The sequence below is a fragment of the Homo sapiens genome, chromosome 20 (genome assembly GCF_000001405.40).
Source record: "Homo sapiens chromosome 20, GRCh38.p14 Primary Assembly".
Classification (NCBI taxonomy): domain Eukaryota; kingdom Metazoa; phylum Chordata; class Mammalia; order Primates; family Hominidae; genus Homo; species Homo sapiens.
In genome coordinates this window covers 45,323,946-45,349,094 of record NC_000020.11, presented here as the reverse complement: position 1 = coordinate 45,349,094, position 25,149 = coordinate 45,323,946, and the positions used below count along the sequence as shown (strand labels likewise).

At 50.0% G+C, this 25,149-nt stretch overlaps 1 protein-coding gene across 2 annotated transcripts, besides 1 other annotated feature; it reads left to right on the top strand.

The window, feature by feature from the left end:
- Positions 1-670: 670 nt before the first annotated feature.
- SDC4 (syndecan 4) lies at positions 671-23,807 on the top strand. Of its 2 annotated transcripts, NM_002999.4 has the most exons (5): positions 671-770; positions 13,175-13,313; positions 16,026-16,072; positions 18,531-18,729; positions 21,680-23,807. In NM_002999.4, exons 1-5 carry the CDS (start codon positions 711-713, stop codon positions 21,829-21,831), a joined length of 597 nt encoding a protein of 198 aa, NP_002990.2. In that variant the 5' UTR covers positions 671-710; the 3' UTR covers positions 21,832-23,807. The 2 variants fall into 2 exon arrangements, with proteins under 2 accessions (NP_002990.2, XP_011527279.1); XM_011528977.3 differs by lacking the exon at positions 13,175-13,313.
- Positions 5,768-6,662: an enhancer, noted in NCBI's record as "H3K27ac-H3K4me1 hESC enhancer chr20:43971073-43971967 (GRCh37/hg19 assembly coordinates)". NCBI's record gives its function as "activates a minimal SCP1, AML or CMV promoter by ChIP-STARR-seq in primed H9 embryonic stem cells {active_cell/tissue: H9 hESC(primed)}" and the evidence as "EXISTENCE:reporter gene assay evidence [ECO:0000049][PMID:30033119]".
- Positions 23,808-25,149: the final 1,342 nt, after the last annotated feature.

Below are 25,149 nucleotides of genomic sequence, written 5' to 3'. Positions count from 1 at the left end.
TTTTTGCATGTTTAAATGGTTGGGAATAAAGTCAAAAGAATAATAATATTTCGTGACACATGAAAATTATATTAAATTCAAATGTCGGTGTCTATAAATAATGTTTTATTAGGACCTAGCTGCCCTCATTCCTTTAGTATTTATGGCTGCTTTTGAGCTACGACGCTCGAGTTTGAATAGTTGCCACAGGGATCGTATGGCCCGCAAAACCTAAAATATTTAGCCCTTTACAGAATAGTTTGCTGTCCCCTGTCTTAACACGGTTCACATCCCATTTGGGAAGTTCTGTGTCTTCAGAGGGGAGCACACCCGGTATGAAGGCTGGTCTAAACTCAACACCCTAGGGAAGTCCTTCCCGTCCCTGGGCCTTAGTTTCCCCAACTATAAAATGGGGTTAGCCGCAGTGATCTCTGGGGACCTGCCTGGCAGTGGGTCAAATAAATAAAGGGAGTTGGAGCTCCCGGAGGGTAGGACTAGGGGTTGAGTAGGAGCCGGCGGGCTCGGGCAGGGCGGGTCCCTTGGGGTTTCCAACTCCGCGGGCGGGCGCAGTGCCCCGCAGGCCTCGCTTCCACTGGGGAATTCCGGGCGGGGTGCGGGCGGCGGGGCGGGGGCGGGCCGGGGCGGGGCCGGTAGGCCGCCTATAAGATGGGTGGCGCGCCCGCCCGGGGCCACTCGCCGCAGCCTGCGCGCCTTCTCCAGTCCGCGGTGCCATGGCCCCCGCCCGTCTGTTCGCGCTGCTGCTGTTCTTCGTAGGCGGAGTCGCCGAGTCGGTGGGTGCTTGGAGGTTCCCGGGCTGGGGGCGAAGCGGGGGCGCAGGCCGGTGCCTCCTTTGTTCGTCGGAGCGTGGGATGGGGGGGGGCAGATCGGGGGTACGCTACCCCCAACCGGACACCGAGGCCCGGGAAACTTTGTTGGAAACTTTGCTCCGGGGTCACGGGCCAGCCTCCGGGATGGCTTCACGCGCCGTGCGCCCCTCGCCTGTTGCTCTTCCCGCCTCCCCGGGCCTCAGCCCCGCCGCGGGCTACGGGCTCGTTAGTGACTAAGCCGGTGTCAACTCTTCAACTCCCACACCCTCGTCCCTTCCCTGGTGACCCTGGGGCAGGCTTGGAGCGCTGAATCCCCTCCTCGCTCTCGGGGCGCCCAGAGCAGACAGCTTTAGGATCCGAGATGGCCCTGGGGGTCGGGGGGCTGCGTGTACTCGGAAGGGGGAGGGTTTTAGGGTTGTGCGAGGCCCTCTTTCACACACCAAGGAGAACTGAGCCCTAACCTCAGTTCTGGCCCCAGCTCTGTCATTGACTTGTGACTTAGGGCAAAGTCCTGCCCTTCTGAATCTCTTCCCAATACTGCACCAAGGGTCTGAGGGAATGGGGCAAGAGGGGACACTGCGTTAGGGTTTCTAGAAAGTTGGGGACTCTGCTCTTTTCGAGGACAGAGGAGAGGAATGGTTTAGACTCAACACTTAGCCAGGAGCTGAGCCTCTGCTTTCTGCAAGAAGTGTGTTCATTTTTTCTCAATTGCAGATAAGAAAATTGAAGCATCCACCTTGAGTGAGGTGAAGGGGGTAGGGGGGAGAGAAGGCCTCAATCAGCCCAGGGAAACCTTTCCTTCTCACTGTCCACTGGCCTCCGTCATAGCTGTCCCTGGGCCAGCAGAAGCTCTATCCATGCCCGCAGCCGGCTTAGGAGGAGGGGGGCAATCTCATCTGGGAAGTTGGGGGGCATGGGAATTACTGGTGAAGGCAATCTGTCCCCCACAGCCTGAGCTTTGTGCCCCCTTTGTGCCCTTTAGCCCCAGTTTTCAGAGCGAGTGAGTCCTTGCAGTTTAACCATTAATGTTAATTTCTTTGAAAGCCTTGGGGCTCCTGTTCCTCTGAATTTACTTAGCGGAAGGTTGATTCTGCCTGCAGGCTCTTCTTGAGGAATGAATGAGACCCTAGGCAATACTTCCAGCACAATTCCAGGCATGCCATGATGATTGCAAACGTGGAGCGCCTTTGTCGGGGGGCCAGACATTGCTCTAATAACTTTCTAATGGGTATATCCAGGAGCTTAATTCCAACAACAATCTTACTGTGTACTGTTCTTAAACTGGTCCTGAGGCTAGAGAGGTTAAGTAACTTGCCCAGGGTCACACAGTTAATACACAATAAATGGGTGAGTCAGATTGAAATTTAGGCAGCCAGGCTTTCAAGTTTCTGCTTTAGCTTAACTTCTACTCTTTGTGCTACTCCAGGTGTCCCATCGTTGGTAACTAAAGACGGGTTTAGAATAGGTTGAGATTTTAGGCTGGAAGGCAAAGGAATTCTGAGGTGGAAGGAAACAAGGCCAGAGTGAGGTGATGACTTAACCTAAACCAAAGGCTACCTTGCCTAAAATGTTAGTGGCTGAGGACCCAAGCCTTCTGCCTCTAGCACAGTGCTCTAAACTAGGCCCTGAAGGATGTGTCGGGTCAAGCAACTGGGGAAGCATCCGAAGGGATACCACCTAGGCAGTACAGGGAAAAAGAGGAAAGGACCCAGGAGGTTGCTGAGGTCACCGTGTGCCCAGTCACATGCCAGTTTCCTCCCAGGGGCTGCTGAGCCTTCAGGTGCTTCAGGGTGCTGAGCAGTCAGCTGTGTCCTGGGGGCATTCTGAAGGATGTAGTTTGGGGGAAGGGGACTGTGTCAGTCCTGCCTGGGTGACCCATCAGCTGCAGGAGACATCAGCCCTGGGCAGCTGCTTCCTGAGATAGGTGTCAAGTCTCATCCTGACCTCAGCTCTCCCCTTCCTGGCTAATGTCACAGACCTCCTGCCTGTAACTGGGGCACAGGGCTTCCCCTTTGGCCTGTCCCCTCCCTCTTTTCTAGATTGTGGTTGGAAAAATCAGACATAGTCACGGTTGGCTCGGACTGAAGAGATGATCCAGCGTGTCCTTTTCTTTTTGCAGGTAGAGAAAAGTGAGGCCCAGGGAGAAGGACTTTGCTAATAGCAGTTAGGAGTGATAGAGTACTTTTTATATGACAGATCTGGTGCATTTTGTCCTCACAAAAAGACCTGTCACATGGGGATTCTATTATGCCCACTTCCCAAATGTGAGAGGTAAAATGGTACTACTTTGGGTTAGTAGAGGGCATCCAGGACCCCAGGATCTCTGACTAGTAGCCCTCCCATTGTGGGTGGTGTTCCCCCGACTGTTCCATCATTCCCCTTACCACCCCCATATTTTGGAAGGGAACCCAGGCTCAGTACCCAGCTGTCCTCTCCTCTGTTTGGCTGGGCTTGCTATACTAAACCAGTTCTTCCTGTCCAGCTGGGAGCATTCCCTGATCTGCCTTCCTGCCACTCCCTCTCAGGCCAATTAAAGGCAGCCTTGTTTTGGGAGTCCCCTCCACCCAAAGGTGTTCCTACCCAGGGGCACAGCCTACTGACTTGGCCCCGGGCCCAGGCGGTTGTGGGGAAGTGTCCCCCACCTATCACCTATCAAGTGTACTTTAGCTTAAGGACATTTCTGGTCTTCTACAGCGTCCTCTTCTTGATTACATGGGAGTAGGGGTGGGGGCGGAAGCCTAGGGGCTTCTAGGACCCTTGAGTGAACAGTGAGAGCTCTTGGGACTTCTTGAGCCCAGGGAGTTATCAAACACCCACGAAAATATTTGGGCCATGATTTGGAGGGTTCCATGAGGTTGGGGGGAGGCCTCTTTCCCCGCTGGGCTGACATCCCCCACCTTAAAATGAAAGGTTTGAACAGGGTAGCCTCCAGAGTCCTTTCCATCTCTCAATTTGATTAATAACTTAAGTACCTACTATTCAAAAGAGGTCTCTCTCTTGAAGGAATTAACTTGAGGGAATTAACATACTCCACCAAATGCTGAATCCCTCCCTCTCTCCCCCCGCACACTGAGGGCAGGAACTCTGCTCTATTTGTTTTTGTGAAATACCTGTCCCCTAGTTTGTACTCAGGAAATGCTTGTATGAATGAATAAATTCGTGCATGTAACTTTATTCTAAATGGTTCATTACTGTTATTTATTGCTAGTATGAGTATCTCCCAGTACTGCGAGGTACCATTTTCTCTATTTTTACAGGAAATTGATGCTCGGAACAATGCAGTGGCTTCCTAAGGTCAGAACCAGGTCCTTCTGATAGGGCAAGGTGTCTGGTTTGAGTGTCCTCAGAATATTCCAGATGAGGAAATTTGCTGGGTTTGAAGGTAGATACCTTAGGTCCTACTTCTGCGTTGCTGGGTGACCTTGAGCAAACATGCCCTGTCTCTGGGTCTCAGTGTCCCCAACTCTAAAATAAGGAGGCTGGACCATTGCCTTCCAAGGGTCCTTCCTGCCCAGAGAGCCCATTGATGAGGGGAGGGGCCCTTTGCTGGCCTCCTTGGTGAAGAGTCTAAACAAATCCCAGTCTCAGAAGAGAAGTTGGGGTGGCGGGGGGACATTCAGCTCCTGCCATCCCCAGCTCCTAGAAACAGAGGGCTTTTCCAAGGACTTGGAGTGCTGAGCCTGCCTGAATGAGGAGCTGGGGAAGCCAGGCTGGGCTCCCAGCCCCATCTCCCTGTTGGGAGAAGTTGGCTCCTAGCTGTCCTTCAACCTCCCGGACTGGACAGGCGAGTGTGATTTCCAAATGAATGCTTAAAATTGGGGTAAGGGGCTGGACCGAGCGCTGTGAGTCACTGCATGCTAGCGTAGCCTGCCTGAGTCACCCATTTCCTTTCAAACTCTTGGCTAATAGGACAGCTCTGTGGTGGGGGTGTTGGAATGAGCTCAGAGTTTTACCTTGTCCTTTGGGAGTCACTGTTTCAGTGTCCGGGGCTCGAGGGGACATACAGGACATGTTTGTACTAGGTCCCGCACTTTCACAGCCCCTTGCCTGCATGTAGACTTTGACATTGTACATTGTGCAGCCAGTCCTCAAAATTGGGCTTTAGACCTCTGCAGAGCAGGTAGTACTTTTTTCCTCTTTAAGGCAAAACTGAGGCTGCAACTGGCCTGCATTTTTTCAGAGAGCAAAAGCTGGTACTGTTCAGGTTTGGTGTGACCCCAGGATTTTCTGATGTTTGTGAGGACTCCTCTTTGCTTCCTGGGGCTGGCCAGAGGGCATTGAAACATTGGCTTGGTGTTACACAGACTTAACTCCAGACGTGCGAAGTCCACCTCTTACTGGCTACATGAATTCAGTCATGCTACTCCACCTCTGAGCCCCAGCCTCCTGGTCTGTTAAGAAGATCATGATACCGGTGTGGCGAAGCTTAAAGGAGACGACAGGGCTGTAAATAAAGGCACCTAGTACCATGCCTGGTAGGGAGGAGGTGTTACTTAGTGACAGTTCCCTTCCTTGCCCAGGCCACCTTCATGCCAGGGGGTCCTATCTCTGAAGATTCTGAGCCCAGGTCTCCTGGAAAGCTTTCTCCATCCCCCTTATCCCCCTTATCTACCCCCACAGCTGGGAGGTGGGAAGGGAGAAATCTAGGGTGGGGCTTTTGGAGTCCAAATCTCCTATTTGTTTATCTTAGAAGTGGGCTGTTTGCTAATTATCGAATGGGTTTATGTTTAAACAAGAACCAGTTCTGGGCAGCCCCACCTCTCCTGCTGGGATTTGCTGGAGCCTCATGCTGAACAGTTTGCAGCCTGGAGGGAGAGGGGGCAGGGGGTTTGCCAAGGGTATCAGACCACTCTGGACACTGTCCAGGACCTGGGGTCACCCTCCTGTGCTGGAGGGGCAGAGTTTCTACCCTTAAGGAGGCTGAGTGATTGCAAATAGCACTTTGAGGGGTGGGGTGTTGGTGGACAGAAAAGGTACAGTGTTCTGAAAAGCCAGTTTCTCGTATGTTTTCACTGCATGGTGCCCTAGAGAGGGAGGAGAGAGAACACATATGTCAACAGTTGGGGTCTCATTTAACCTTAGAAGAATAAGCCTGACTTCTTGGGCTTGTTTGTCATTAACTAACACAGTGGTGACCTTGGGCACATTCTTGCATCTCACTGGGGCCTCTCTGGTCCCATCTGCTGAAGGCTGGGTGACTGAAAAAGAGGGTACAGAAAACTCCAGCCCCCGTCCTAGCTCTGCTGCTCACCCAGGGACACACACAGTTAATACGTCACTTTGTTGATGTGAACTCCAGTGTCCTCTATAAAACACCTGTGGCACTCAAAGGTCATCATCGCTGTTTGGCAAACTTGTAAAGTTCTGGCTTTATTAGCACCTAGACGAGGGTTCTTAACCCGGCCAGAGTTTGGCTTTGGGGAGGTGGTGTCTGTGCATATGTTGAAAATGTAAACTAAGAGTTACAGTTATTGGGGTTTAGACCTTTTTATCCTTTTCAGGGGGCTGCAGTACTCCCCAAAAGGTCACTCTGATCTCAGCAGTTCTTTCTGGCTTTGACCTTTCTACAGCCATCCTTCCTCCCTCCCCCACTTCCCAGCCTTGTTCTTGCCTCCTGCTTCCCCCAACCCCCACCTTCAGCCCAGACCTTCCTATTCAGCGGCCCCCACCCCTTCAGGCTGCATCTCACCCCTCCCCCTGTCCTCCAGGCCCGGGAGCTCGGCTGCTCCAGTTTTCTCTGGCACAGTAGAAGAGGCTGCTGGTCAGGTGACACCTGGGGTAATGGAAAGGGGAGGCAGGGAGAGGCTGGTATGTGTGGAAACAGTGACTTGGTGAAGCCCAGCAGTCAGTGGCCAGGCCTGCGGGGACTGGCGGTGTCACTCTAGCCTCTGGGCGTGGGGGCAGATGTGGCACATGGCTGGCCCGGCTACCCAGAGTGGGGATACTCCTTGCCTTGGAGAAGCCCTGCCGGAGCCGTCTGTGGGACAGACTGACCTGGTCTGGAGGATGGCTTCCTTGGGGGTCGGTGAGGGAGGCTGGGAAGAGGCAGGAAGCCAGCACCCAGGGCTGATCTAATCAGCTGAGATAAGGCTGCAGCGTGGGCTCTCTACTCTGCTCTGAGAACACAGGAGGTTTGTTTACATCCCGAGAGCCTCCCTAGCCCTCGGATCCAGCAGGGATTTCGGATCTGCTGCCTAGATTACAAGCTCCAACTTCAATGCACCTCTGTCTCTGAGGCCCTGAGGGAGCCAGCCCCCTCCTGGCTGTCTCCACCGGTAATCGGAGCAATGCCCAGCTTGGTTACTGGGCTGGGACAGAGGGAGGCTTGTCTCTTTGAGACCTGTCTTTTACAGATTGGAAAACTGAGGCTCAGAGAAGGGAATTGTCCACGATCATCCAGGGAGTTAGTAACAAGGGTGCTGGGTCAGCTCCTGGCAGGGAGACATCCAGAGGCTCCTGAACCCTTCCCCCATTTCTAGCTGGCACCCTAGGATCCTGGAGTTCTTGCTGTGGGAATGGGCTGCCCTGAGGCTTGGTGAAAAGCTGGTTGCAGGCAGTGCCAGGCCTGGCTCTCTCCTGAGTGATTGTGTTCAGAGTAACCCGACCTTGAAGGCGACATTTGAACCCTCACTCCACCCCCACCCCCAGACCTGGTTTAACCATTCAGGCACCAGAGCACCAGACCATGGATTGGTGTGTAGTTTCTTTTTACCTTCTAGATTTTTATTTATTTATTTTGTCCCTGGGGACCCAGGTCCCCAAGTAGAATTTCAGGTGTTTCTGGTCACTGTCATTTGCACCTTCGGGGAAAATAAAAATGGTCTTTACCTCTGTCTGCTTAGGACAGGTGGTCAAAGCTGTGTGACCTTGGGCAGGTCTCTGACTATCTCTGTATCTTTTTTTCACAGTCTGAAGGGACCTGATTGGTTGTTGAAAAGTCTCTGGGCTCAGAAGCAAAATGATAACCTATTATAGATTATATTCCTTTACAGTTTGCAAAGCACCATCTCCCTGTCCCCAGGCTAGCTTCCTTCCAGCAACAGAACTGCCTCTGCAAGTTTTCCCAGGCCTCTGATCCTTTGAGCACTGATCCCACTGGCCAGGAGGAAGGCAGGTAGGGGTTAATCACAGCCACTATTCATTGATCACGTGCTGGGTCCCTTGCACACACAAATGCATTCCTCTTAATCCTCATCACCCTGCAAGGTGCTACCAGCCCTAGTCACAAAAGAGGAAACTGAGGATTTCAGAGATGAAATAAACTCCCAAGCTCATATAGTTAGGAAGTGGCAGAACTCACACTTGTGAATCTGCCTTGATGCACAACCACTCTGGGTGGTAGAGTCACAGTTGTGGGCCCCAGGTTTTAGCCATTCTGGGGAATGTCTGGCCCTTAAGAAGTGGGTGGGGTGGGGAAGAACAGTTACGAGTAGTGTACGCTGCTGGGGGTCTCCTGCTAGAAATCATTCTGGTGGGTCCAGGTGTTGGAGCCCCAGGTACTCACCATCCCCTCTCCCCACTAAATTTGGCTTGCCCAGTTATTACCCTTCTGGTCTTGCCTCCTGAAAGAAGGGTCAAGTGTGTCCCCGACCCTACCTCCCCTGGGGAGGAGCCAGGTCGGGAGAGGCTCTCATTAGTTCACAGTTATCCAAGCCCTGACCCTGAACTCCTCTCTGGTGCCCCAGCCAAGTTTCTGTTCCTTTGTTTAAGTGATATCACTTTCACCTTTGTTTACTCCTAGGCAGGGACAGGGTTGCCCTGGAGCCCTGGCCCAGCCAGTGTGTTGTGGACTGGCGGGTTAGGCTGGAGAGAAGTGAAGAGTGGGTGGCAGTGAGAAGCCTAGTTGTGGTTGGGACGTGTTCTTGAGGAAGATCTGGATTTGAATCCCAGCTCTAGCTTTCTAGTTGCATGACGTTGGATAAGTGACTCAGCTGAACCTCAGTCTTCTCATCTGCAAAATGGGTAGAGCACCTTGCAAGGCTGTTTTGCCATTTAAATGAACTTGTATAAACAAAGTACCCAGCATGGTGCTTGGCATGTAGTGGATACTCCTTTTAGTCACTCATGCTTTTCCTGGGGTGATAGAAGCCATAGGATTTGGGGATAGGGTTGGGATAGGACCTTTTCGTAGCTTCATGCCTATAGCCAAAAGACTAGATGGGGAGTATAACTGTAATGACAGCTGCTGCCTGTGGATTTGCTGAGACCCTTAGGGGCAGCCAACACCCTGGAAGGGGAGAGAAGATAATTCCAGTCTGGGAGCCAGGATACCTAGGTTCTAAGTCCATCTCCGCTGCCAGCTGCTTGGATGACCTTGGCAAAATCCCTTGTCTTGTCTGTTTGCTAGGTTATAAAATCAGATACCTTCTGTTGGCAGGTGTTAGTTTCTGTAGAACAAAAGAGCACTTCCCCTCCCTTCTTTCTCCCCAACAGTCTGGGGAAGAATGTAGTATCTCTAAACCCCCAGGCACTAATCCCAGATCCCCACCAGCCACAGGGCCAGCAGAGTCTGTGGGACCTAGGCCCATTGCCCTATTTTTTATTTTTTGGAGACAGGGTCTTCCTCTGTCACCCAGGCTGGAGTGCAGTGGCACGATCGTAGCTCACTGCAACCTCGACCTCCTGGGCTCAAGTGATCCTCCCACTTCAGCCTCCCGAGTAGCTGGGACCACAGGCGTGCACAACCACATTTGGCTAATTTTTGTAGAGATGGGGTTTCACCATGTTGCCCAGGCTGATCTCAAACTCTTGGGCTCAAGTGAGCCTCCCACCTTGGCCTCCCAAAATGTTGGGATTAAGCCACTGTGCCTAGCCACCACTGTCTTACTTAGTTGGTAATTTCTGTTGTGTGTTCATGAAAGGGACAAAGATACAAGGAGACTTGAGAGCCCAGAGAGGGTGCCTGTGCATGTATACACACGAACACACATGCCTGGGCAAAGGTGGGGTGAGCTGAGGAGAACAGACCACATTCTTAGCCAGGAGCAGGGCGGGGTCCATCTCTGGTCAGGGCTGGGCCTGGCTGCTGGGTGGCCTGGTTCTTCAAAGTCACCCCAGACTCAATGGGCTTTATCTGAAAAGAGGGCGGAGGAGAGGAGGACCGTTGGTGCCTTCCCAACCTTTACACAAAAAAGAGTGATTGCCCACAATCCCACGGGGCTTGGTCCCGTCTTGCTGGCCTAGTCCTAAATGGCTCTTATCCACTTTGGAGTTGCCTTCCCTCTTGTCAGAGGTCATGGGTGGAGAAGGGACCAAAACAGGGCAGAGAGGGGGCTTCCAGAGCTCAAGGAGAGATTTAATTCCCTGTGTCCTCCTATCACCACTGGGAGCTGGAAGAAGTTTCTTCCCAGCCCCTTGACTTGCTGTAGGAGGGAAATCCTGGGCTCATCTAAATGCAGCCTTTGAAGACTCCATCTTTTCAGAGCTTTGAAATAGGATCGAATCCAGGCCGTGCCGCGGAGCCCCGGGGTGACTTCAGACTAGACTAGTTTCTTTTTTGGAAACTGAGTATAAAAATGAAGGGTTAAGGATGAACAGGTGCCCACAAAGAGGGCTGAACTGGGAATAAATCTTGGTTTCAGCCTTGGTTTTGCTGCTGACTTGGCTGCAAGATCTTCACGCCCCACTTTCGCTCATAGCCTTCATTTCTCTAATGTAAAACGGAGGTAATTCCTAACAGCCAGTGGGCATGCTAATCCCATGGGTTGTTTTGAAATACCTCTTAGCACTTTCACATACTGAAAGAGAGGCTGGATGCATAAACAACCTTCCATGGCTCCTGGGGGCAGTGAGGGGTGGGAAAAGGTCTCTCAGCCTGAGACAAGTCTCCTGATGGAACTACAGCCCCTGTTGAGGACTTTGACCTGGTCAACAGCTGGCCAAAGTGTACCATTCTTTCTTTCTCCCGGCTAGATTGACCCCCCTACTTAACAGGGCTCCCTTGGAGCCTGGGGCAGGCTGGTGACCCCGTGTACATATGTGTTCATGCGTGTGTTTATGTGTTTGTGGTTAAATGTCCAGGTCAGTGAAGCCTGGGTTCTGGCCCAGTGTGGCTACTTCCTGCTTGTGTGGCCTTGGACAAGTGACTTTACTTTTCTGAGCCCTTGTTTCCATCTCTGCAAAAAGGGACTATTAAAAGGACCTAGACAGGCTGTGTGCTTGGTTAAGGCCTGTCACTTGGGTTCTTGGGGGATTTGCCACAGGAGATGGAGGTAGGAGCACAGGGACCCTGCCCTTAGGTATAGGCACTTGGGCAGCCATGAGGAGCCTTCCTCCTGCTCTGCCAAACCAAAGCCACAGGCACGGGCTATGTGCGGGGGCTTGAATTCCAGCACCAGCAGCCCGGCAGCTCCTGATTCCCGAGTCATGAAGTCATCTCTGAGCAGCACTTAACCTCTCTGGCTTTCCACCCCCACGGGTGCCAAGCGTTCAGCATTCTCCCCACTCCCCGGGAGAGAGTGATTCCTGGCCACTGCCTTCCTTGTGGCCTGACCCCGCTCCCTTCCGGGAATCCAGCATTCTCCCTCTGTGGGGGTGGAAGAGGGTGCATGAGGGTCAGGTTCCACCTGCCTCTCCCCAGAAGCCCAGTGGGGAGAGTACAGGAGTGGCTCTGAAGCAGCTTTCCTGGGCCTCTCCTGCAATGATAATAACCTTATCTTAGGGACAGATGTTCCTTCTCAGACACCCTCCTTTGTCAATGGCAGTCTCAGCTGAGTGAAGGACTGCCTGGGGTGTCCGAAACAGAGACCTGACCTCTTTCTATCCTGAGTTATGTAGCGAACGCTCTGTGTGACCTTGGGCAAGTCCCTGCCCTGTTCCGGGCTCAGATTCAAGTTGTGTGAAACGGGAGGACAGGAGCTCCTTGGGTCCTGGCATTCTGTGATTCTAAGCAGACCCCCAGCTCCTGCAGTTATGGCGTCTGGAGAAGATGGGAATGTCTTTCAGCGGGAGGGGCATGGTGTATTGAACTTAATGAAAAACCCCAACTCTCCTGGCAAATACTAGGCACTTTAGTGTTTGAATTAATTAGTAGAATAATGAACTTTGCTCAGAGCTGCTGTTCTCTGGGCAAACAGAAGCCTGAGCCCAGAAGCTGGAGGAAGGGTGATGGGCATCCAAATGTTTCCTGTGCTCTTGAGGGTACATTGTTCCCACTCGGTGGAGCTACAGGATGGGAGCAGGGTAACTGATGTACTGTAGGGCTGCCCGGGACCTTTGACACTTTCTTTTGGCAAGCGGTTTGGTGGGAGTGGACCTGAGACTCTGTCCTGATCAGCTGTGTCTCCACAGGGTAGTGGCTGAGTGATGATTATGGGTACTGGAGTGGATGGTCTGTGAGGGTAGGGATTGTGCCTCTCGGTGTCTGCATGGTGCTGGCAGCAGAGTAGATCTGTGGGAGATGTTTGGAAGGCAAGACTGAATCCAGGAGTACACTCCTGAGTCATCAGGTCTGGGCAGCGCCCTGACCTGAGGCTGTCTTAGGGTGTGCGTGAGGCAGCCCTGTCTGTCCCGGCCCAGACTGACTCAGCTGGGAAAAGTATCCTGGACTGGGCAAGACCAGAACCAGGAGCCCACTCCCTGTCCTGTGTGAATCAGCTGCCACTGCATCACAGAGCCCTGGAGTGTAGCATCCCAGGGCCCTGTGCATGGAGACTCCTGGCTCTGAAGTCAGGCAGCCCTGCGTATGCAATCCTCGCTCTTCCATCTGCCAGCTGTGTCACCAAAAGAAAATGACTCCCTCGGCTGTAAAAAGAAGTGAATAACATGCCTCCAGAGTTATTAAAACAGGGCCCAGCACATAGCAAGTGCTCGGTAAAGGATATCTAGCCATATTAATAATTTGATTATTACCTCATTTACTGTTTTTATTTTTTTTGAGACGGGGGTCCCACTCTGTAGCTCAGGCTAGAGTGCAACGGCGTGATCCTGGCTTATTGCAACCTCCGCCTCCCGGGTTCAAGCAATTCTCCTGTCTCAGCCTCCCGAGTAGCTGGGACTACAGGCGTAAGCCACCACGCCCAGCTGATTTTTGTATTTTTAGTAGAGACGGGGTTTCACCATGTTGGCCAGGCTGGTCTTGAACTCCTGACCTCAAGTGATCTGCCTGCCTCCGCCTCCCAAAGTGTTGGGATTACAGGTGTGAGCCACTGTGCCCAGCCTCATGTACTATTTTTATTTGCCCAGAATGGAAAGAGACTTGCCTAAGGACACGCGGTGAGTTAGAGGTAGAGTGGGATCCAGGACGCAGGTCTCCAGGCCCTGGCCTGGTCTCTTTCTAGTTTCTGAATGCCCACTTCACTAGCTTTTGGGCATCAGCTGTCATGGAGCACTGGGGATGTTGGCTGATGTGTCTCCTTTCTTTATCTTAGATCCGAGAGACTGAGGTCATCGACCCCCAGGACCTCCTAGAAGGCCGATACTTCTCCGGAGCCCTACCAGACGATGAGGATGTAGTGGGGCCCGGGCAGGAATCTGATGACTTTGAGCTGTCTGGCTCTGGAGATCTGGGTACGGAAGGTGTGCTGGGCAGGCGTAGGCACAAAGCTGGAGGGAGTGGTGGCTTCACCAGCCAGGAGGGTGACCATGCCTTGAGACTTGGATTTTTGTGGGACTTTTCCTAGAGTGCCCTTCTTCCTTCTCAAAAAAAGGGGAAACAAAAGTAATGGATTAACCTATTCCATCCCTGAGAGCCCCTGGGGACAAGCTGTTTGCTGCTTTGAAGTCATTGGTAGCTCTGGGTTTTCTGAGCTCCAGCCTGAACGTGTCCTCATAAGCTCTTCTCTTTTCTGCAGGGCATGGTGGGGGTGGGGTGAGGGTAGGATGGGTGGCAGGACAGGGTGGGAGTGGGGAAGGAGGACCCATAGAGTGTTTTCCTTTTTTTGAAAGGAAAAGTTCCAGCCTGGGCCACATGGTGAGAACTTGTCTCTACAAAAACACAAAAATTAGCTGGATGTGGTGGCATGCACCTGTAGGAGTCCCAGCTACTTGGGAGGCTGAGGTGGGACGATCCCTTGAGCCTAGGAGGTTGGGGCTGCAGTGAGCCAAGATCATGCTACTGCACTCCAGCCTGGGTGACAGAGTGAGACCCTGTCTCAAAACAAAAAAGGAAAAGTAGCAGCTTAGAAGTGGGGATGGGGTGGGAGGGGGCATGAGTGGGCAGAGATGTAGTTGGGAAACCAAGAACAAGTCCCTGCTTCAGTGGGGGTGGGGGCGGGTGAAGGGCCCAAGGCCTCTAGGCCAGACAGCTAATAAGTGTCCCTCCTATGTGCAGAGAGGTGTTAATGATTGCAAGTTTTAGCTTTGCAAGTTTTAGCTTTGGAGTCACATGGTCCTGAGTTCAAGCCTCCATCCTGTGTGAACTGAGCTTCAGTTTTCTAATCTGTAAAATGGGAATAATAAAGATAGTACATCAGTGTTGTGGGGACTGAACTGACTTAAAGCTTTTGGCACCTACCAAGCACTCAGTACGTGTGTGTTTGGTTTAAAAAAAAAATAAATTTTATGGCCGGGCACGGTGGCTCATGCCTGTAATCCCAGCACTTTGGGAGGCCAAGGCAGGCAGATCACGAGGTCAGGAGTTTGAGACCAGCCTGGCCAACATGGTGAAACCCCGTCTCTACTAAAAATACAAAAATTAGCCAGGTGTGGTGTCGAGTGCCTGTAATCCCAGCTACTTGGGAGGCTGAGGCAGGAGAATTGCTTGAACCCGGGAGGCAGAGGTTGCAGTGAGCTGAGATCACGCCATTGCACTCCAGCCTGGTGACAGAGCAAGACTCTGTCTTGAAAAAAAATAAAAATAAAAAAATAAATTTCATTATGTGCATACAACATGATATTATGGGATACATATAGATAGTAAAAATGTTACTACAGTGGAGTTAAGTAATATATCCATCATCTCACATAGTCGCCCAGGAAATGTTTTAATATTGCAGTTAGAGTTTTCTTTCTCAAAAGTTAATTCCCTGGGGATCTTGTTAAAATGTAGATTTTGGCCGGGCGCGGTGGCTTACACCTGTAATTGAAGCACTGTGGGAGGCCAAGGCAGGCGGATCACAAGGTCAAGAGATCGAGACCATCCTGGCCAACCAACATGGTGAAACCCCGTCTCTACTAAAAATACAAAAATCAGCTGGGTGTCATGGTGCACCCCTGTAGTCCCAGCTACTCGGGGGGCTGAGGCAGGAGAATCGCTTGAACCCAGGAGGCAGAGGTTGCAGTGAGCCGAGATGGCACCACGGTACTCCAGCCCAGGCGACAGAGAGAGACTCTGTCTCAAAAAAAAAAAAGTAGATTTTGATTCAGTCAGCCCTGAAATTCTACATTTCTTCTTCTTTTTTTTTTAACCAATGAATTATTTTTACTCTTTTTAAATAAGTGAAATATTAGCTTTAATGTTTTCTGATCATGACAATATTTTTAGATAAGAACATTTTAAACATTCAACAGTAAGAGACTATTGAAAATAAATGAAATTCATTGAATAGAAGTAATTAAAATAATAATGTAACTCTTTAAGCATTGTAATGGAAAGATGTTAATGATATATTGTTACGAGCCCATTATTGGGAAAAATGTATTTAGGAATACGTATGGAGGGAATTTATTTATTTATTTTTTTGAGACGGAGTCTTGTTCTGTCGCCCAGGCTGGAGTGCGGTGGTACCATCTTGGCCCACTGCAACCTCTGCCAACCGGGTTCAAGTGATTCTCCTGCCTCAGCCTCCCAAGTAGCTGGGATTACAGGCGCGTGCCATCACCCGTGGATAATTTTTGTATTTTCAGCAGAGACGGGGTTTCACTATGTTGGCCAGGCTGGTCTCGATCTCCTGACCTCAAGTGATCTGCCCGCCTTGGCCTCCCAAAATGCTGGGATTACAGGCGTGAGCCACCGCGCCTGGCCTTGAAATTCTACATTTCTAACCAGCTCTCAGGTGTTGCTATTGGTTTTTGGATCCACACTTTGCAGAGCAAGGGTTTAGAGCTGATGAAGCCTCTGCCCAGCTGCCAGCTCACACATTCCTGTGAAAGAGCCAGGGGGTGGGTCTGAGGAGCCCCATTTTACAGATGAGATGACTGAAGTAGGGGTGGGGAAGCTCGCTTGCTGGACATTGAGCATTTGGAAGCTGGTTGTAAGGTGGAGCTCCCACCAGTCCTGGCTGAAGGGGTCATTTTCCTGGGGTAATGGACCTCACTCACACAGCTATTCTGACCTTACAGATGACTTGGAAGACTCCATGATCGGCCCTGAAGTTGTCCATCCCTTGGTAAGTAGCTACATGCTTCTGCCTCTTCCACTTTGCTCCTCTATAGCAGACCTATTGGGAGAGGCAGAAAATACAGCCCCCATAGGCAGAATAAGTGAGGGGTCTTACCCCACTATGCGGGAAGGCTTTTTAAAAATCTGGCCCTGGGGTGGGCATGGTGGCTCAGGCCTGTAATCCCAGCACTTTGGGAGGCTTGAGGTCAGGAGTTCAAGACCAGCCTGGGCAACACGATGAAACCTGTCTCTACATAAAATACAAAAATTAGCCAGGTGTGGTGGCATGTGCCTGTAGTCCCAGCTACTTGAGAGGCTGAGGTGGGAGAATGGCTTAAGTCCAGGAGGCAGAGGTTGCAGTGAGCCAAGATTGTGCCAGTGCACTCCAGCCTGGGTGACAGAGCCAGACTGTGTTAAAACAAACAAACAAACAAACAAATCTGGCCCCAGGCTCATTTTGTAGGTTGCTGGTAGGCCATCCTCCCTGCAGGGATAGTCACCGTCAACACCAACTCCTTTTCTCTACATTTATAGCTATTTCCTAGCATTGATAGAAAAGTATATATATAGGCCGGGCACAGTGGCTAATGCCTGTAATCCCAGCACTTTGGGAGGCTAAGACGGGCAGATCACCTGAGGTCAGGAGTTCGAGACCAGCCTGGCCAACATGGTGAAACCCTATCTCTACTAAAAATACAAAAAATTAGCCTGGCACAGTGGCGTGCGCCTGTAGTCCCAGCTACTTGATTGGGAGGCTGAGGTAGGAGGATCGCTTGAACCTGAGAGGCAGAGATTGCAGTGGGCAGAGATTGCACCATTGCACCCCAGCCTGGGCGACAGAGACTCCCTCTCAAAAAAAAAAAAAAAAAGTATATATATATAATTCTATGAACTGCGTTTTTCACTTAGACTGGTCATGAGTATTTCCCTGCATAATTTAATGCTCTTGTCATTTTTATAGGCTGCGTAATAGTTTACCTGATTCCCTTTATTGACGGAAAAATGGCTTATAATTTGTTAACATTTTAAAATTATAACACTGCAGCAAACATCTTTTTTATTTTTGCAAAGCAATAACAAGTTTATTAAGAAAGTAAAGGAATAAAAGAATGGCTACTCCATAGGTAGAGCAGTGGCATTGGCTGCTGGTTGCCCATTTTTATGGTTATTTCTTGATTATATGTTAAGCAAGGGGTAGATTATTCATGAGTTTTCCAACAAAGGGGTGGGCAATTCCCAGAACTAGGGGCTCCTCCCCTTTTTAGACCATATAGAGTAACTTCCTGACTTTGCCAGGGCATTTGTAAATTGCCATGGCACTGATGGGAGTGTCTCTTAGCATGCTAATGTAGTATAATTAGCATATAATGAGCAGTGAGACCAACAGTTTCATTGCCATCCTGTTTTTGGTGGTTTTTGGCAAGCTTCTTTATTGCAACCTGTTTTATCAGCAAGGTCTTTATGACCTGTATCTTGTGCAGACCTCCTATCTCATTCTGTTACGTAGGATGCTTAACTTACTGGGAATGCGGCCCAGCAGGTCTCAGCCTTATTTTACCCAGCCCCTATTCAAGATGTAGGCACTCTGGTTCAAACACCTGACATTTTCCCCCTCCCTTTTGTAAGAAAACCCTTAATCCTAAGGGTTGCAGAGGGACAAAGATCCATCTTCTATAACTTCTTCATGCTGAATAGGGTGATGATATTCCTGCTTAACTATTAGGGCCTCTTGTATCCATGGTAGAGAGGGGTTCAGTCAGAAAGGGCCAGTATGGTGAGGGCCATTCATAACTCTTAGTTCTGACAAAAGGTGATATCCAAAGTCCTCCAATCAGTGCTGCAGTCCATTTCCTTTGATTCGGGAGTCTCCTCCGTCTCATCCCTTCTGTGGTTCTCCAGAAAGATGTTACCAGAAAGGGGTCCCGATCCAGACCCCAAGGGAGAGGGTTCTTGGATCTTGCACAAGGTAGAATTCAGGGTGAGTCCATAGAGTAAAGTGAAAGCAAGTTTATTAAGACAGTAAAGGAATAAAAGAATGGCTACTTCATAGGCAGAGGAGCTGCAGCAAGCATCTTTTACACGTAGTCTCTGAAGAGCTCCTTACAATAGAGTTTCCAGGGCAAAACTGCCACCTTAAAGGGCAAGCGATGTCTAAGGTTTTGCCAAATTGCTTCCAGAGTGGTTGCTCTAGAATAACCAGTGGCCAGCAGTGCAGGAGAGCACCTGCTTCCCTGTTCCCTTGGGTGCATTCATTTTTCATTTGGGACAGATATACTAAAAAAGTTGGGGATAAGGATTTTGGCAGCATAATTGTGGAGACAGTGTTGCCAATTCCTGCTCCAGGACCATATGGTTCAGCTGAATATGGCAGAACCAGATTCTCTGCCTGGCTGAATGTCCCTGTCCCCTGCCCTGAGTCTCTTCCAAAATACGCTGAGTGTCTCTTCTCCTTTCCGCCCATCCAGGTGCCTCTAGATAACCATATCCCTGAGAGGGCAGGGTCTGGGAGCCAAGTCCCCACCGAACCCAAGAAACTAGAGGAGAATGAGGTTATCCCCAAGAGAATCTCACCCGTTGAAGAGAGTGAGGATGTGTCCAACAAGGTGTCAATGTCCAGCACTGTGCAGGGCAGCAACATCTTTGAGAGAACGGAGGTCCTGGCAGGTAAGTCCCCATGCTGCTTATAAGATGCCTTGAAGGTGGAATGGGGCTCAGCGGGGGAGAGCACCTGCAGGCAGGGATGCCTCCAGCCATGAGGCTCCTTGGTGCCCCTTCCTTTTGCCTATTCAGGTTGCCCTAGAACATTGAAAGACTACACCTTCCTTATGGGGTGGCTCTGACTGTGCAGCCTGGTGGAGGGAGAGGAAAAAGCACCTATCAAAGTCTTCTGGAAAATAGGCATTGAGTCATTCTTCTGCCTTAAGTCTTTCTCATTTATTTTGCAAAGGACTTTCACTGTATAAGTTTGGCATCTGGGAGTTAATCATTAAAAGTTAATTTCCCTTGTAAGTCTGGAGGCTCCTTCGAATTGGGTTAGCTTCCCCTCCCCCTACTCTATCACTTGGCAGCCTTGTGACCTTGGCTGAGAAGCTTTCGAACTTGATGAGCCTCAGTTTCCTTATCTGTAAAATGGGTACAGTGATACCTTCTGGGGTTGATATAATGAGTCCATGAAAAATAAAATATGAAATAACTTTGCACACTATAAAGGGCTATTCCGATTTGGCCTCAGTTGAGAGTTCTTTACTGGAATGTGCGGTGAGGAATGCTTTGTCCCAGGTGTTGACAAAAGGGATGGAGGGAACTCCCCAAGGTCATGGCCGAGGGCCAGCCTGGATGAACCGGCCTGGCAAGTGGGCACCCTGGGCCCATGCTGGGTAACTCCTGTCTCCTGGGAATCAACAGAGCCAGCAGCTCCAAGGAGGCTTGAGCTATAGGGACAGAGCCTGGCTTCATCCAGGACAGATGGAAGGTCTCACCTGCCTCTTGTAAAGAGGGTTCCTGGGAGCACAGCCCCTGATGACTGGGCCCACCTCAGCCCTGACCCTGGCTTCCTGGTATCTGAGCCAAAGTTCTTTTTACTTTTCTTTCAGAAGTAAAAAGATTTGCATAAGACTTTGGATTTGCATAAGGTTTTGCTCTAATTAACTAAAGGTGCTATTGCTTCTAAAGAAAAATTTGAAAACCACTGATTAATCTAAGCACCTGCTTCTTATACATGGGGAGACTGAGGCCCAGGCTTTAGGCCACATAGTAAGAAAAGAACTGAAGCCAGGTTATCTCTTTAATCTTCCATTTGAGAATTATACAAGCCTAAGAGCCTCATGTGAAAAGTTATATTGTTAGCTGGTGTGGTGGAATCCCCCATTCCAGAAGCTTTAATCAGCACCCAGGAGCCTTATTAAATGCTTGCTGTATGCTGTATGATTCCTGTGCCCCTGATTGAGTCCGTACAACACAAAACTCAGTCTAAAGAACTTATCCGAAGTCACAAAGCTGGAAGTGGCAGACCTGGCATTTGGACTGAGGACCACAGTCAGCTTCTGAGCCTGTGCTTGAAACTTGACCCTGTGGGGCATCCCAGCGCAGACCCAGGGCCTCGTGGAGGAACTGGGGTCATCAGAGGGAAAGGTGATAGAGACAAGAATGGGGTTGATGCCTGATATTCCATGTGCTTGCTCTGGCACCTCCTGGGGGTACTTTTTTGTTGCTTTTTCATAGGATTTTACCCAAGAAAGAACCTTGCTTGACTCCTCTGTGCCACTCTGTCCCCATTGTGTACATAGATTTGTAGTGTGTGCAGGGATGGAAAATTAATCTTCTTAGCCCGAGTAAGACCGAATTAGGGAACTCAATCTGCCACAGAAGGGATTCTATGAAGCATCCCTGCCCCTAGCAAACAGGAATGAGTCATTCAGGCCACCTGGCAGAGTGGACAGGCCAGACCCACTCACTGTTAGAAGCCCATCTCTGCCCAACACTAGGCAGGTTCTCCTCTCGGAGCCTGAAAGTATCATTTATTAAGCACCTCCTGTTGTGCACACCTGATTCAGGGGGTTCGGGACACAGATATAAACCTTAAACCCTTACAGTTAATGAATCTTGAGAATATGCTATGCACTAGGCATTGTTCTAAGCACTTTGAGTGGATTAATTTATTTAATCCTTAGGACAAATGTATGAGAAAGGTATGGCTCTTCCCATTTTGCGGTAGGGAGATGAAGGAAACTTGCCCCAAATCACACAGCCAGGAAGTAGGAGAGGTAGGAGTGGAAACCAGGCCTTAGCTACTGAGTTCTGTATGTAATTGTAACATAAGAGTTTGGAATTAGTATGTTCTGCATGTGTGCACTTTGAATGTACATACCTGTCTATGAAGTGTAGGCTATATAGGTAAATATGCACACAGGGAGAGCTAGAGAGTGCCCTGTGCTAAGGACTGCAGGATAAATATGTCTACAGGGATTTCCATAGCCTACGGTTTTCTCCTGTTCCTGGTTCAGTTAGTGCTAGACTGTTGCAGGGGAGTCCGCGTGGTGTTTGGAAAGAGCCTAGGCTTTAGATTCAGGCAGATGTGGGTTAAAATAGTGGCCTTGGCCGAGTGCGGTGGCTCACGCCTGTAATCCCAGCACTTTGGGAGGCCGAGATGGGCAAGGTCAGGAGTTCAAGACCAGCCTGGCCAACATAGTGAAACCCTATCTCTACTAAAAATACAAAAATTAGCCGGGCATGGTGGCACGTGCCTATAATCCCAGCTACTCAGGAGGCTGAGGCAGGAGAATTGCTTGAACCTGGGAGGTGGAGGTTGCAGTAAGCCGAGATCACGCCACTGCACTCAGCTCGGGCAACAGAGTGAGACTTCGTCTCAAAAAGAAAAAGGAGTGGCCTTACCACTAGCCCTGTGGTCTTCAGTGACTTAAAATGCCAACGACCCACTTCTTATAACTGGGGTCATGAGGTCAACTTAAATAAGGCATCAGCTTGCCTGGCACAGGCAGTGGTGATGGTGAGGATGTCTGGTTGTAAGAGAACTGACAGTGGGGGAAAGAGGGGTTCATCCTTAGGTCCTGATGAGGAGCTCTCACCCCCGCCTCTTCTCTCTCCTCCTCTCCAGCTCTGATTGTGGGTGGCATCGTGGGCATCCTCTTTGCCGTCTTCCTGATCCTACTGCTCATGTACCGTATGAAGAAGAAGGATGAAGGCAGCTATGACCTGGGCAAGAAACCCATCTACAAGAAAGCCCCCACCAATGAGTTCTACGCGTGAAGCTTGCTTGTGGGCACTGGCTTGGACTTTAGCGGGGAGGGAAGCCAGGGGATTTTGAAGGGTGGACATTAGGGTAGGGTGAGGTCAACCTAATACTGACTTGTCAGTATCTCCAGCTCTGATTACCTTTGAAGTGTTCAGAAGAGACATTGTCTTCTACTGTTCTGCCAGGTTCTTCTTGAGCTTTGGGCCTCAGTTGCCCTGGCAGAAAAATGGATTCAACTTGGCCTTTCTGAAGGCAAGACTGGGATTGGATCACTTCTTAAACTTCCAGTTAAGAATCTAGGTCCGCCCTCAAGCCCATACTGACCATGCCTCATCCAGAGCTCCTCTGAAGCCAGGGGGCTAACGGATGTTGTGTGGAGTCCTGGCTGGAGGTCCTCCCCCAGTGGCCTTCCTCCCTTCCTTTCACAGCCGGTCTCTCTGCCAGGAAATGGGGGAAGGAACTAGAACCACCTGCACCTTGAGATGTTTCTGTAAATGGGTACTTGTGATCACACTACGGGAATCTCTGTGGTATATACCTGGGGCCATTCTAGGCTCTTTCAAGTGACTTTTGGAAATCAACCTTTTTTATTTGGGGGGGAGGATGGGGAAAAGAGCTGAGAGTTTATGCTGAAATGGATTTATAGAATATTTGTAAATCTATTTTTAGTGTTTGTTCGTTTTTTTAACTGTTCATTCCTTTGTGCAGAGTGTATATCTCTGCCTGGGCAAGAGTGTGGAGGTGCCGAGGTGTCTTCATTCTCTCGCACATTTCCACAGCACCTGCTAAGTTTGTATTTAATGGTTTTTGTTTTTGTTTTTGTTTGTTTCTTGAAAATGAGAGAAGAGCCGGAGAGATGATTTTTATTAATTTTTTTTTTTTTTTTTTTTTTTTACTATTTATAGCTTTAGATAGGGCCTCCCTTCCCCTCTTCTTTCTTTGTTCTCTTTCATTAAACCCCTTCCCCAGTTTTTTTTTTATACTTTAAACCCCGCTCCTCATGGCCTTGGCCCTTTCTGAAGCTGCTTCCTCTTATAAAATAGCTTTTGCCGAAACATAGTTTTTTTTTAGCAGATCCCAAAATATAATGAAGGGGATGGTGGGATATTTGTGTCTGTGTTCTTATAATATATTATTATTCTTCCTTGGTTCTAGAAAAATAGATAAATATATTTTTTTCAGGAAATAGTGTGGTGTTTCCAGTTTGATGTTGCTGGGTGGTTGAGTGAGTGAATTTTCATGTGGCTGGGTGGGTTTTTGCCTTTTTCTCTTGCCCTGTTCCTGGTGCCTTCTGATGGGGCTGGAATAGTTGAGGTGGATGGTTCTACCCTTTCTGCCTTCTGTTTGGGACCCAGCTGGTGTTCTTTGGTTTGCTTTCTTCAGGCTCTAGGGCTGTGCTATCCAATACAGTAACCACATGCGGCTGTTTAAAGTTAAGCCAATTAAAATCACATAAGATTAAAAATTCCTTCCTCAGTTGCACTAACCACGTTTCTAGAGGCGTCACTGTATGTAGTTCATGGCTACTGTACTGACAGCGAGAGCATGTCCATCTGTTGGACAGCACTATTCTAGAGAACTAAACTGGCTTAACGAGTCACAGCCTCAGCTGTGCTGGGACGACCCTTGTCTCCCTGGGTAGGGGGGGGGGAATGGGGGAGGGCTGATGAGGCCCCAGCTGGGGCCTGTTGTCTGGGACCCTCCCTCTCCTGAGAGGGGAGGCCTGGTGGCTTAGCCTGGGCAGGTCGTGTCTCCTCCTGACCCCAGTGGCTGCGGTGAGGGGAACCACCCTCCCTTGCTGCACCAGTGGCCATTAGCTCCCGTCACCACTGCAACCCAGGGTCCCAGCTGGCTGGGTCCTCTTCTGCCCCCAGTGCCCTTCCCCTTGGGCTGTGTTGGAGTGAGCACCTCCTCTGTAGGCACCTCTCACACTGTTGTCTGTTACTGATTTTTTTTGATAAAAAGATAATAAAACCTGGTACTTTCTAAACTGCTTGCCTCTGTCATTTTCGTTCATAACAAGTCATCCTTTTTGGGCTCTGTATCCCCTTGATCTCAGTGGAGCATGAAGAAACTCCCCGGACCAAATCCCCTACGGGGTGCCAGACATGCCGGGGGTGGGCAGAGGGTGGGGGCAGAGAGGTAAGAAGGCAGGAAGGGGCCTAGAGAAGAGGGAAGACTTCAGAACATGCACCCTGATGGCCTATGCAGCATATCACCCCTACTTCAAGGTTTTGTTTAGGTGGCACTGTGTTTAAATAGCAAACACAAAAATCTTTGCGTCAGTTGCCATCCATAGAAATCAGGAGGTTTCTCATAAAAATCCAGATTTCTCACTTTTCTTGGGAAAAAGAAATAAAAAAAATTGGCAACTGTCAGCCTGCATGGCAACAAGAGAGCTGCTGAGCGGCAGGCACCCATCTAGATGTGGGCTCTCCGCACCACTGTCTCCGCCTGCTTCACTCAGGCCACTGCTGCAGCCAGGCTGGCTGGCAGTCTCCGGAAATAGCATGGGCCATCTTTCTTGACCACTATAACAACCCTGTGAGGTGGGTAAGATCCTTGTTACCAAGAGGGCAACCTGCCCCTAGTGTGTCTGGAGAGTCGAACCTTAATTTCAGGTCCTTGGACATTGGTGATCTTCCTTTGGCACCATGTTGCCCAGTACTTTGCTGGGGTTGGGGAAAGGACGCAAACAGGAATTGGTGGTAGTTGGAGCAAACCCTCCCATACACACCATGTGGCCAGGAACCCATTCTTAGGGCTTTATACCAGATCCCATTTAATTGTCAGATCTCCACAGAGTAGGTGCTATTAGTAACCCCATTTGACAGATAGGGAAACTGCATCTAAGAGGTTAAATACCTTGCTCAAAGCTACACAGCTTACCAGTTGTAGAGGTGAGATTTGAACCCCGGCAGTCGGGCTCTAGAGTGCTAACAACTGCACTGCCTATCAAGGGGTTTATATCACCCAAGGCTCCCTCACTGGGGGCTGTTCATGCCCCTGCAAACCCCCTCTGAACCAGTGATTCTGGTCTTAAATCTCGTGGCAGCTTAAATCTCTCCTGAGACTTTGCCACACTGTTTTTCTGAGTCCCATGAGGTTGAGTGGGTCTCTGTTCTCCTAACTTGTGTCTTGTAGAAGGCCCTCACATCTGTTAGATCTGTGCTGACCACTATGGTAGCCACTGGGAACTGTGGCTATATTATAAATTTAAATTAATTATAATTGTAAAAATAAAAATTCTGCTTCTTAGTTGCACTAGCCTTGTTTTAAGTGCTCAACAGCCACATGTGGCTAGTGGCTACTGTATCAGGTGGTGCAGACAC

Coding starts and splice junctions, on each gene's coding strand:
- SDC4 (NM_002999.4), top strand. CDS start 711: ATGGCCCCCGCCCGTCTGTTCGCGCTGCTGCTGTTCTTCGTAGGCGGA. Junction 771..13,174: donor TAGGCGGAGTCGCCGAGTCG/GTGGGTGCTTGG, acceptor TCTTTATCTTAG/ATCCGAGAGACTGAGGTCAT. Junction 18,730..21,679: donor GAGAACGGAGGTCCTGGCAG/GTAAGTCCCCAT, acceptor CCTCCTCTCCAG/CTCTGATTGTGGGTGGCATC.